Consider the following 12760-nt stretch of genomic DNA (forward strand, 5'->3'; position numbering starts at 1 on the left):
TTCGTCCTGTGGAGCTGGAGGGAAGGGGCCACAGGGACTCTGGGTGATGGTGAGGAGATGTTCACCCCCTTTTCTGAGTCCTTCAGATGAACTCAGTCGAGCTTAAAGTGATGTCACCAAGCAGTAAGGGAACTTTTTTGGCTTGTTGGTTTTGTTTGCTGAATATATGGATGGAAAGAAATATCATGAAATTTATAACGAGCAGTGGCTTTATTTAAAGATCAGAGACTTCATAGCATCTGTAGGTTAAGACCTGGGACCTGCTGCCACCCTCAAGAGGATCTGCTGCCTCTTCCCTGAGGAAAACTGGCAGCAGGAAGAGAGCTCTGGAGGCCAATTTCTCAGAGATAAGGGCTTCTTATTTTTAGAGATCACTACAATCATGCCCACCCCGGGATGCATCCTCTTCTCAATTTCATGTGGTTGGAGAGAGCTTTTGACTCTATGCTTTGATAATAGCTCTGAAACCCGATAAGCAGTTCATTTTCTCTCTTTTAAAAACCTTGCTAGTTAAAAGGCCTCCTCATATTTTTCTTTTGCAGATTGCCTTAAATCTTTTTTTAAATTCATGGAATATAAATGTATACTCCTGATTGCCTTAGCAGTGCTTACTATATATCTTGAGATAATTAAAAATCACATCAGCCAGGTGCGGTGGCTCATGCCTGAAATCCCAACACCTTAGGAGGCTGAGGTGGGCGGATCACCTGAGGTCAGGAGCTTGAGACTAGCCTGGCCAATGTGGCGAAACCACATCTTTACTAAAAATACAAAAATTAGCCGAGTGTGGTGGCACATGCCTGTAATCCCAGCTACTCAGGAGGCTGAAACGGGAGAATCTCTGGACCCCGGGAGGTGGAGGTTGCAGTGAGCCGAGATCACGCCACTGCACTCTAGCCTGCACTCTAGCCTGCAGCTGAGATGCAGCATCCTCAGGCTGAACTTCTTGGAAAGCATGACTGTCGGGGAAGGAATGGAGAGACTAAAGAATTTGATCCAGTTCCCTCACAAAAATTAGGGCTATTGTTCATCTAAACTTCTCATAAATCTGGATCACCAGTGGAATAATCCATTTCTGCATTTAGCCTCCGTCTTATTTTCAGCCTACTTCTAGAAATTTAAATATACATTGGAAAATATATTGTATGCCTAGGTTGAAATAAAAGGGTTTTTTTTTTTTTTTTTGCCAGTCTGGATTGCTGTTTGAAGTATTCAATTTTAGAGTGAATACACCAAGAGCTACAGCTATTGACTTGTATGAAATAAATCATCAGTCTTAATGATAGCTCTTTGAGTTACATTGATGGGTGGGCTCACTGATACACACCACACAACTCTGGGTGTATGTGTATGTGTGTGTGTGTTGTGGGGGCAGGATCACTTGCCCTCGCAACCTGAGGATCTGAACCAACCAGGAACCTCAGGAAAAAAAGGGCTGCTATGGGCTGGGCGCAGTGGCTCACACCTGTAATCCCAGCACTTTGGGAGGCCGAGGCGGGTGGATCACGAGGTCAGGAGTTTGAGACCAGCCTGACCAACATGATGAAACCGTCTCTACTAAAAATACAAAAATTAGCCGGGTGTGGTGGTGCGCACCTGTAATCCCAGCTACTCAGGAGGCTGAGGCAGGAGAATCGCTTGAACCCAGGAGATGGAAGTTGCAGTGAGCCAAGATCGTGCCACTGTACTCCAGCCTGGAGGACAGAGCATGAGTTCGTCTCAAAAAAAAAAAAAAAAAAGGCTACTGTGTCTTCTTTTCTCTTCCTGTGTGCAAGTCTGTGATTTCAAGGCTATGGCCATGTTACGTGTAGCCGTACCCATGTCTTGAGGTGCAGCCCCGTGTGAATGTGTGTCCTGGGATGTAGTGAGATGTGTCGCCTCTACCGAGCTGTTTCTAATTTTGTTGGATTCCCTTTTCATTTCACATCTCAGACTCAAGCCAAATGCTGCCTCCTTTGAAACCCTCCTTAACAGAAACATGAGGACCATTTATAAAAGGTGACCGTAGTGTGAGATAAGGGGTGGAAAGTACTGGGATAGCACGTGGACCTTGATTTGATCAAATGGACCAAGTCTCATAAAATGGCTGCTGAGTGCTTTTCTATTTAGAAAGAGAATTTCCCCCAATACGGTTTCATTTGAATCTCACACAATCCAAAAACAGAGATAGTATTAGTCTCAGTTTGTAACTGGGAAGATGAGCTCAGAGTAAAGTTCCATAGCTGAGAGGAGCTTGGACTCTAACCAAGACGTTGTATGTGCTGTGCTGTCTTCTGTTTCCCCCATGCTTTCTATAGTTTAAAAAAGAAAAGAAAAGAAAAATCACAGGCGGCCCTCGTCCATTTAGATCTTTATATAAACCACCTTTACCCGCTTTGTCCTGCCCAGTCCTAGAAAATCAGAAGGATTAGATGCCTTTGCCATTTGCCAGGTGTTATTGTTGAGTGCAGAGCAGGAAGGACACAGGTAATAACTCCCAGAGCTTTCATTTTAGAGAAGAACGCAGGCATGGAACAAGTAATTCCCAAGACCACAATTATTGAGAACAAATAGTATAACAAAGACAGCTAAAATTTATGTTAATAGTTGACTTATTAAGAACTTAATATGTTCCTGGTGATGTTTCCAATATTCTTTGAGGTATATAAAAATGAATTCTTGGCCAGGCGAGGTGGCTCACACCTGTAATCCCAACACTTTGGGAAGCCAATGCGGGTGGATCACTTAAGGTCAGGAGTTCGAGACCAACCTGACCAACATGGTGAAACCCCGTCTCTACTAAAAATACAAAAAAATTAGCCAGGCGTGGTGGCACTTGACTGTGATCCCAACTACTTGGGAGGCTGAGGCAGGAGAATCACTTGAACCCAGGAGGCGGAGGTTGCAGTGAGCCGAGATGGCACCACTATGCTGCAGCCTGGGCAACAGAGTGAGACTCCATCTCAAAAAAAAAAAACAAGAGAGAAAAATGAAAAAATTTTTTTCTTTTTAAAAGCCAGTCAAGTTTAGCAGTGTAGGGTTGTATACCGACTTTAGTAACACTGATGTTAATTTCTGATAACCCACTACCATCGGACCAGCCTAAAAATGAATTCTTAACTCCATTTTACAGAGAATGGGGAAGATATGAGGGAGGTAAGAAATGTGCTCAAGGTCGTGAAAGTAACTTCCTTAAGGCGGAAGCAAATGTATATGAAACACACTTGTGAAATGGGTACATAATGCATAGGATACATGTGTTCTCTGTCAGGAGCCTGTAGTGGCCTGCTGTAGAACTGTGATATGCTTGGCTCCGTCCCGTTCAATGTTTTTGATGAATGGCTTAGCTGAGGACATTAATATGTTATTTACATTTGGAGATGATATAAACAGAGGAGTTAAAGCTCCAGCAGTGTGGCCTGTTGGCCTAGATGATCTTAAAAGATTTATGAACCCTGGCAAGCAAGGTTATTAACATGCTTGAAGCCTAAGAATCTATGAGTTTTAGGGTTCAATGTATTTTCACTTCTACAGTGATAAAGTGAGTAAAAAGGAAACCGTGTCTGTTCTCCCAATTTCCCTCTAAGAGGATAAAACCAAACAACAACAATGCCATAGAGGTAACCATTATTAAAGATTTGGTACATATTGTTCCAGACTTTAAAAAAAATGCTTACACAAACATTGACTCCTTTTCTCTCTCCCTTTTCCTCTTCCTCTCCCTCTTTGTCAGTGGGTTATTTTTGTTTAGTTTGGTTTTAAACACATAAAAGAATCATTCTCAGCAACTTGCTTCTTTTCCCCCTTAAGCCAGGGACATCTTCACACATGAGTGTGTCTAAATCTACCTCATAGCTTTTGATGTTGTCTATTGCATGAACATTTCATAATTTAACTACTCCCCTCTACTGATAGACATTTAAGGGTTTTTTTTTTTTTTGCTATTATGAAGTATTTATTACTTATTTATTTTTCCTTTGTAGAGACTGGGTTTCAGTTTGTTGCCCAGGCTGGTCTCAAACTCCTGGCTTAAAGCCATCCTCCTGCCTCAGCCTCCCAAAGTGCTGGAATTATAGGCATGAGGCACCACGCCCAACCCTATTATAAGTTATTATGTGTTGCACCTCATAAATATGTAATGCCATATCTATTAGAATGGCATGGTGTAGCTAATGGGTTTGCGTATTTAAAATTCTATCCCTATTTCCAAATTGCCTTCCAGGGATATTGTTTACTGATTTGTACTCTGGTTTTTATTTTTTTTGTTTGACATTTTTAAAGATTTACTTTCAAAACACTTTCTATTAGAATGAAGGAGAAAACACAATGAAGAGGTTTCTTTACAAGTTTTGTCGTGGGATTTAAAATTCCTTCCAGATAATCTTTAAGTCTGATGATTTGATCATTTGTGGGTGTGTCCTGGTTATATTGGCTTCTGGTTCCTTCCCACGAAGGCCACTTACAGGTTTGCTTCTTGGTCATACTGCCCGGGGTGGGACGAATTGCCCCTTTGGAGCCTCGTCTACTGTGTGAACTGCAGGAGTGCTGGGCCACTTGCACCCGGTCGTCCAATGAGGATGTAGATCTGGGAGTATCACTTCTGCAGTGAAAAGGGTTGCTTTGGTTGGCTTACCTCCTCTGCCCCTGGCATCCTGACAGCTGTCAAGGGCTCATCATTTCACAACTTCATTAAACAGCCTGGTACTCCTGTTTCTTACTCTGCAAAGGAGGTCCCTAGCACGTTGTGGACTCCTGTGGAGAAGGAAGTGGATGGAGAAGTCTCCTAGTTTTTCTGTGGTGCCTTGGCTACCACTTGGACATTCTTGGTTGTTGTTCTTACAGAAATGAGAGGAAAACACTGTTGCTGGAAACATTTGAGGTTTTTAGGGTCTTTTTTTTTTTTAACAGCTTGTTTAGTTGTAATGTGGTAATACTTCATGGGAATAAACTCTGGCTGACCCACTCAAAGGATATAAGCTTGAAAACATTTAGGGTTTTGATTTGTTCAAAGGAGGCATTTGTGCTTTTTGAAGCACAAATCCAGTGGGAAAATAGGTTTTCTGGTGCTTACCATGTTTAAGTGTAAGGAGCGTGTCTTTCAAGTCTAGTTCTCATCTCAAAAGAAATAACTATTTATAAAACTAAGTTCAGGGTGGAGGGATAAAGCTATGCGAGGAAGCTTCGGAGTGGAAAAAGTGAAATATACATTTCCTCCTTCTTTCTTGTTTGGTAACAGTTAAGTCCCAGTATTACTTTCCTCCCTGAAATGGGTGGTCCTCGAATCCCATCTGGCTCCAATGAATCCCATCTGGTTCCACCGCCTCCTGTCCCATGTGCCACTATGTTGTGTCTGCATCTTTCAGGGTCTCTCTGGGCAGAGCTGTGTGTAAATCCTGTCTTCTGTGGCCATTTGAGTTGCAGACAGGAGAGACTGATTGAAGTTAAGCAAGGTGCGTGTTTATTAATAAAGAAATGTACCCACAATGTATGAAACCATCAGGTCATAAAATAACACGTGTTCCCCATTATTTTTTAAGTGAATGCTTGTGCCTGTATATATACACACGTAGAAAACACAGAAAAGACTTAAATGAATGTAGGTTTGATTTCCTCTATTTGAGGTGACTTTAACTTATTGATAACTCTCAGAAGTCCGTGAATTTTTAACAACGGTATGACTTATTTAGACGGTTTGGGGATGGAAGAAAAAACAAAAACACTTTTGATTTGGAGTGAAATAAAGGGAATTATCCATCTTTAACAACACGTGGGATTTGCAAAAGTGTGGACATGTCTGAATGTGACAATCTGACTAGGAATGAAGTCCCATTTTGTGCGGATGTTGGTGCCTCATAGGCTCTGAAAGCTCACCTGAGACATCACCCTTGAGGTCAAAGCTTGGGTACCCTGGCGGGACGCAAGCTATTCACATAGTAAAATAGACTCAAAACTCAGGTTCAGTAACGTCACTGTCATAAATCGTTTTCTACCGAAGTTAATAATGTATCTACGGCCTTTCTCAAGTAGGGACAGTTACCCTGTGGTTACTGAAAATTAGTATCTCATAATGTATTCATTATCATACTTAGGATGTAAGGATGTGTAGCATTTGACCTCAGTTTTTAAGGGTCCTTCTTTTTATCATCTAATGTACTTTGCTATGTGTGTGTAACATCTCTTTTTTTTTTCTTTTTTTTTTTTTAAGAGACGGAGTCTCCCTCTGTTGCCCAGGCTGGAGTGCGTGATCTCAGCTCGCTGCAACCTCCGCCTCCCAGGTTCAAGTGATTCTCCTGCCTCAGCTTCCCTAGTAGCTGGGATTATAGGCGCACACCACCACACTTGGCTAATTTTTTGCATTTTTAGTAGAGACGGGGTTTCACCATGTTAGCCAGGATGGTCTCGATCTCCTGCCCTCATGATCTGCCTGCCTCGGCCTCCCAAAGTGCTGGGATTAAAGGCATGAGCCACTGCGCCTGGTGTAACATCTCTTTTTTAAATGATGTTTTTATTTGGAGACGAGGGTCTCTCTATGTTGTCCAGGCTGGCCTCAAACTTTTGGGCTCAAGCAATCCTCCTGCCTCAGTCTCCTAAGTGCTGGGACTACAGCGCACGTCACAGTGCCCGGCTCAGTAACATTTCTAAAAGAGTAGACGGAAATTTGTGCCTGTGTGCTATAGTCTTCATGTTTAAAGAGACTCAGTTTGGCTCCAACTAAAGATACCTTGGATTGGGCAATTCACAGAGGATTATAAGAATTTTTTCAATAATTTTAGGTACTTGGTAGAACCCTAAACTCTATAGAACTTCAGAGTTCTGGTTCCTAAATAAGAGGCACAATTGACCGAAGTTTATTGCATTGAAATTGAGGTATTAAGATGGCTTTTTTATGTTCCCTGTTTAGTTTGCCATATCATGAAACTGTGTATGTCAACAGTTTCTAGGTTTAAGATTCACTGGGTTACCATGTAGCCCACGATAATATGTGATTCCTGCTTTCCTCCCCCAACTTTTCTTCCTGTTACTAATCAAATCTAAGTCCTGTGTACATACTCAATGATATTTAGTTAGAATACTCTGACATTTGGCTGGGCGCAGTGGCTCATGCCTGTAATCCCAGCACTTTGGGAGGCTGAGGCGGGCGGATCAGCTGAGATCAGGAGTTGGAGACCAGCCTGGCCAACACGAAATCCCGTCTCTACTAAAAATACAAAAATTAGCTGGGCGCAGTGGCAGGCACCTGTAATCCCAGCTACTCGGGAGGCTGAGGCAGAAGAATCACTTGAACCCAAAAGGCGGATGTTGCAGTGAGCCAAGATCATGCCATTGGACTACCTGGGGGACAAGAGCGAAAATCCATCTCAAAAATAAAAATAAAAAAAAGAAATACTCTGACATTTTTGCAGATGGGCTTTGTGGAGACACACTGCCCCCTTCTCCATTCCCTACCCCCTGCTTTTGTCTTTAGGTTTCATTTAAAATGCCCATCTTTCATATTTTGGTAAGAGAAGACTTTAAGTGGAAATGTAATCTGAGTATTCTGTTTAATAAATGGACTCAGCATGGGCATTTTGAAGCCAACAATCCCATCTGTAGTGTAAGTATTAAACTACAGTGGTATTATTTCAGGAGGAAGCTCATGCAGTTGAAGGACAGCCTTGCTGGGAGCCGAGAACAGCCAGGTGAAATCAATTTAGCACAACTTAAGGCTTCTGGATTGCGTGTCTTGAACCCACTGTCCCTTCAGCGTTCAGGGTCTAAGTCAGTGGTGAGTCCAGAGTCATTCATTGGCCTGGAAGCAGGATGGAATGATGTCAGATGGAGTGCAGAGTTGAGATTGCTTTGTAGCATGCAGGTCTGTACCAGACCTTTTCCAGACCGGTTCCAGACCTGGAATACCCTTTAAGTCATTTTATAATTGTGTGTAGTAACAGGACCTTCAAAGCATGGCACGTATCTTTGTAATTGTGTGTAGTAACAGGACCTTCAAAACATGGCACCTATCTTTATAATTGTGTGTAGTAACAGGACCTTCAAAACATGGCACCTATCTTTATGTTGAGAGCCTCAAACAGAAAAACGCTGGAAATAGTTGGTGGCAAGAGTTGGCTTCGGGCCATGATGCCCCCATTCCTGAGCTGTGTGACCTGGGGCAAGACAACCCCACCCCACCAGAATTGCTTTGAGTCCCGGTGTCATTATTATAAAATGGAAATAATAGCAGCTGCCTATGTTGGTTTTAAGATAAATGAGATATCTGTATATATAACATTGCTGTATATTACATTGTTGAAACATTTAGGTTCCTAATGGTTATTGTTTCTATTGGCTTAAAATTTTTTTACCTATATTCTCAGGATTAAAAATACGACCAAGAGCAAGCCGGGCACAGTGGCTCACACCTGTAATCCTAGCACTTTGGGAGGCAGAGGTGGGTGGATCACTTGAGGTCAGGAGTCTGAGACCAGCCTGGCCAACATGGCAAACCACGTCTCTACTAAAAATACAAAAATTAGCCAGGCATGGTGGTGCACGCCTGTAATCCCTGCTATGTGGGAGGCTGAGGCAGGAAGATCACTTGAACCTGGGAACTGGAGGTTGCAGTGAACCGAGATCACGCCACTGCACTTCAGCCTGGGTGAAACAGTGACACTCCATCTCAAAAAAAAAAAAAAAAAAAAAAAAAAAAAAAGGATTATATGACCAAGGGCATGCCTACATGCCTGCTGATTTTGTGGGTTTTTTCATTTTTGTTTTTTGTTTTTCTCGCTCCGTCACCCAGGCTGGAGTGCTGTGGCTCAATCTCTGCTCGCTGTAACCTCCACCTCCCACATCCACCTCCAGGTTCAAGTGATTCTCCTTCTGCAGCCTCCCAGGTAGCTGGGACTACAGGCATGCACCACCATGCCTGGCTAATTTTTTTGTATTATTAGTAGAGACGGGGTTTCACTATGTTGGCCAGGCTGGTCTTGAACTCCTCGTGATCTGCCCGCCTCGGCCTCCCAAAGTGCTGGGATTACAAACATGAGCCACCACGCCCGGCCATGCCTGCTGATTTTGAAACTGATGCCATCAGTTGCACAGGGCATCCTATGGGGAGGATTGCAAATGACCATTGTAGTAATATTTTTAAGGAAAAAACAATGACCCAAATGGACATGTTATATGTGTCTTGTTTGCTTGCTGGGCTCTGGGAGCACTGGCCTTCGCGCCAAGCGGCCTCCCTTCTCTGCACCCCGTTTATCCTTTTCTTACACAGCCCTTGCCTGTGGAAATGAGATCTCAGCTTTACCATTGCTTCCTCAGAGAAGTCCTGGACACCCCCAGCCTCAGTCAGGGCTGTTTTTTTTTTTTTTTTTAAAACCTACTTGATTCATTCTCAAGGGCTCTGTTTATTGTTATTTGTTCTATGTATGCCTCCTTCATGACAGTTTCCACAGCTGCAGTTTAGTAATTATTTGTTTAAAAGTCTGCCTTCTGACTTGTTCAGTCAATTATGCTTAACCTGCATCTAATCACAAGGAAACATTATTTATTATTTTAAAGTAAAAAAGAGGTTTTTAAGTCTGCCTTCCATAGTAATTTGTAAGCTCAAAGCTCTGGGAAACACATCTGATTTTTTCATGGTTATATTTGAAATAGGTCTGGAAAGGTGAATGTATGTATCTGGTGTTCCAATGAATGAATTAATGAGTGGATGAATGGCTGATGGGCACACTTACCCAGATACAAGGCCCTATCTGCTTGTAAGGTAGCTGGATCTTTCAGACAAATATAAGACTTAACTCTTCATTGTTTTTGAACTTCCTTTTCTCTGTATTTCTTCTTTCACTGGTTTGTATTCTGGAAGTTAATGCCTTGTTTCTGACTTGGTCATGAGGACTGAAATTAAGTTTCTATGGCTTTGTCTTTTCCATAGCTCCTACAGAAGAATGGTCAGCTGTCCACCATCAATGGCGTAGCTGAGCAAGATGAGCTCAGCCTCCAGGAGGGTGACCTAAATGGCCAGAAAGGAGCCCTGAACGGTCAAGGAGCCCTAAACAGCCAGGAGGAAGAAGAAGTCATTGTCACAGAGGGTAAGCCGCCCCTCCAGGAACTGGAAGGCACACAGCACTTGCAACAAACTTTGGACTCAGCAGAAAATACTCTGTCATACTGCCTGGTGGTGGATTGGTGTTAACAGCAAAAACAATCAATTGGTTACAAAAGGAAGTATTTATCTGACCATTTGGATACCCCCTATACTTAGACCTTGAAGTTATGTTTCCTTTTTCTTATCTGGAACTTGATGCTTTTTAAATTATTGTTGCTTTGTCCCAACTGCTTGTCTGGAGTTGAATGTGAATTCTTGTTGGAAACAGAAGTCATGGTTGCTTTAAAAGAGTCATTATCTCTCCCTCTAGAGAGGAGCCTGCTATACTTGTACAACTCTTTCTGATAGGCGCATTGCAAGGCACGTACCCCTCTTTGCTTAAACTATGATGTGCTGCGTGTTTTATAGCTCTTGAGCCTAGAGATCTTCGAGGAATGGTTATTGAAGAGTGACCGTTTGGACACAGTATTGGGATTTGATTTTTACCCATATAGGGGGTGAGGAACCGTATCTTGAGGTCAGAATTGAGAGCATGTGGCCCAGTAAGTCTCTTGTGAAAAGCGAAAGGCTGCATGTTGAAGAAGGACCTTGAGCTCGTTGTTCCATTTAATTATAAATAAAGGGATAACCAATAACTGCTATCAAATATATGTAAAATGATGATTCGGCATACGGTAAATTGATTCGTGTAATATGAATAAGAGAGACAAATGAAGGGAAAAGTCCTTTCACAGGAGATTCAACATCGCCTCACTTAGATGAGATTCTTCAAACATGTGGAACCTGTTTTTCTTCTTGTTTGATGCCCCCACAGAGCTGCTTCAAGCAGGGAGCTGCTTTTGAAGTTGGTGGGAATACTTATCTGTATATAGCACCACAGGCACAATATAAAGTTAGAAATATACACAGTCTCACAGGCGGAGTATTTGCATGACCTAGTGTGAGAGTTTCAAATAATTTTCACCCAAATGATTGGAATGGACCCAACTCAAATTCCCAAGTCCAAAGCTTTGTCTTTCCCATGTTAACTTTTGAATCAAGTCAAGCACCAGCAACATGTGAGCTTACTATGACCAAGTCTGTAAGGTTAAGACAAGGCAACTTGGTGACTACCAAATGAATTGTGCAAGGGATGAGAGCTGCAGGGTTCAGGTGGAGCAGTCACTTGAGGTGAGAGGGGAGATTAGGGGGAGGCTGGATTTAGATGTGTGTAAACAAGGAATGTCAGCAAAAGTGAGGAGAATAATAACAGCCAACACTTTATGTGCTTTTATTATAGGGCCCAGAGAGGTGCCTTTTGTGCGTTATCACCTTTAATAGTTACAGCAACCCTATGAAGTAGGTGATATTGTTCCCAAGATGCAAATCCAGATCAGCAGATTCCAAAACCACTTAACCACTGTGCTCTCACTGTGCCGGGCAGGTTCGGAGGCTGGTGTGTTGGAACAGCCTAGCCCCTGCAAAGAGTTTTTATTGAAGGGTGTAGAATGAAAGCCCAGAAGGGAAAAGGGGCCAGATAACAGGGCCCTGAAAGCAGAGTGGAGTTTAGAAAGTATTTAGTGGACAACGTGTGATCACTGAACTATGCCACCAAAGGGGTGCCGGAGGCTTCTTGTCTGACTTAGGTGATCTGTAGGATGTATAAGAGGAGGGAGGGATGGGGCAGGGACACAGTTTTTTTCATAGAATCCCAAATAGCCTGGAAATTCTTTTTTAATCTGTGGCATGTTTACTGGAGGTCTTAAGGTTATCTTACCATAGTCCAGATGTGATTTCTTTTACATTTCAGCCACGTGGGTAAACACTGATTTTCACAGTGAGTGATTCAGTCCCTCCCCTGTGACTATTCCATCGTCTCCCTGAGGTGACCTAGGCTTCTGACCATGGCCTCGGAGGTCTGAGCAAATATCAAATCCCCCATGCAGGAAGGGTGGTGATTTTTATTTTTTATTTTTTGAGATGGTGTCTCAGTCTCACTCTGTCGCCCAGGCTGGAGTGCAGTGGCTTGAGCTCGGCTTACTGCAACATCTGCCTCCCCGCGCACATCCCCCGCCTCCGGCTCCAGTGATTCTCCTGCCTCAGCCTCCTGAGTAGCTGGGACGTGCCACCACACCTGGCTAATTTTTGTATTTTTAGTAGAAATGGGGTTTCACCATGTTGGCCAGGCTGGTTTCGAACTTCTGACCTCAAGTGATATGCCTGCCTCAGTCCCCCAAAGTGGTGGGATTACAGGTGTGAGCCGCCACGCCCAGCTGTGGAAGAGTGGTAATTACTATACATTTTTTGTTATTGTTGTTGTTTGTTTATTTTGAGACAGGGTCTTGCTGTATCACCCAGGCTAGAGTGCAGTGGCATGATTTCGGCTCACTGCAACCTCTGTCTTCCAGGTTCAAGTGATTCTCCTGCCTCAGACTCCTGAGTAGCTGGGACTACAGGTGCCTGCCATCATGCCCAGCTAACTTTTGTATTTTCAGTAGAGACAAGGTTTCACCATGTTGGCCAGTATGGTCTTGAACTCCTGACCTCAAGTGATCCGCCCGCCTCAGCCTCCCAGAGTGCTGGAATTACAGACGTGAGCCACCGTGACCAGCCAATTAATATACCTTGTCCTTCCCAAGATCTTGAAAAGGCCTTGACCTCTAGGAAAAAAGAACTAGATGTGCCTCCATACCATAGCCCAGGGCTACAGAG

The 12760-nt window shown here is 43.2% G+C and overlaps 1 protein-coding gene and 1 pseudogene across 2 annotated transcripts in view; one reads left to right on the forward strand and one right to left on the reverse strand.

The window, feature by feature from the left end:
- The window catches only part of AKAP12 (A-kinase anchoring protein 12), a 118593-nt gene that overhangs the window by 55885 nt on the left and 49948 nt on the right, over positions 1 to 12760 (forward strand). For both annotated transcript variants that reach the window (NM_005100.4, XM_017011517.3), the window contains exon 3: positions 9896 to 10052. In NM_005100.4, the coding sequence (NP_005091.2) occupies positions 9896 to 10052 (157 nt within the window). The remainder of the gene's footprint in view (positions 1 to 9895; positions 10053 to 12760) is intronic.
- Positions 2991 to 3082, reverse strand: RNY4P20 (RNY4 pseudogene 20; annotated as a pseudogene).

The sequence above is a fragment of the Homo sapiens genome, chromosome 6, assembly GCF_000001405.40.
Source record: "Homo sapiens chromosome 6, GRCh38.p14 Primary Assembly".
NCBI lineage: Eukaryota > Metazoa > Chordata > Mammalia > Primates > Hominidae > Homo > Homo sapiens.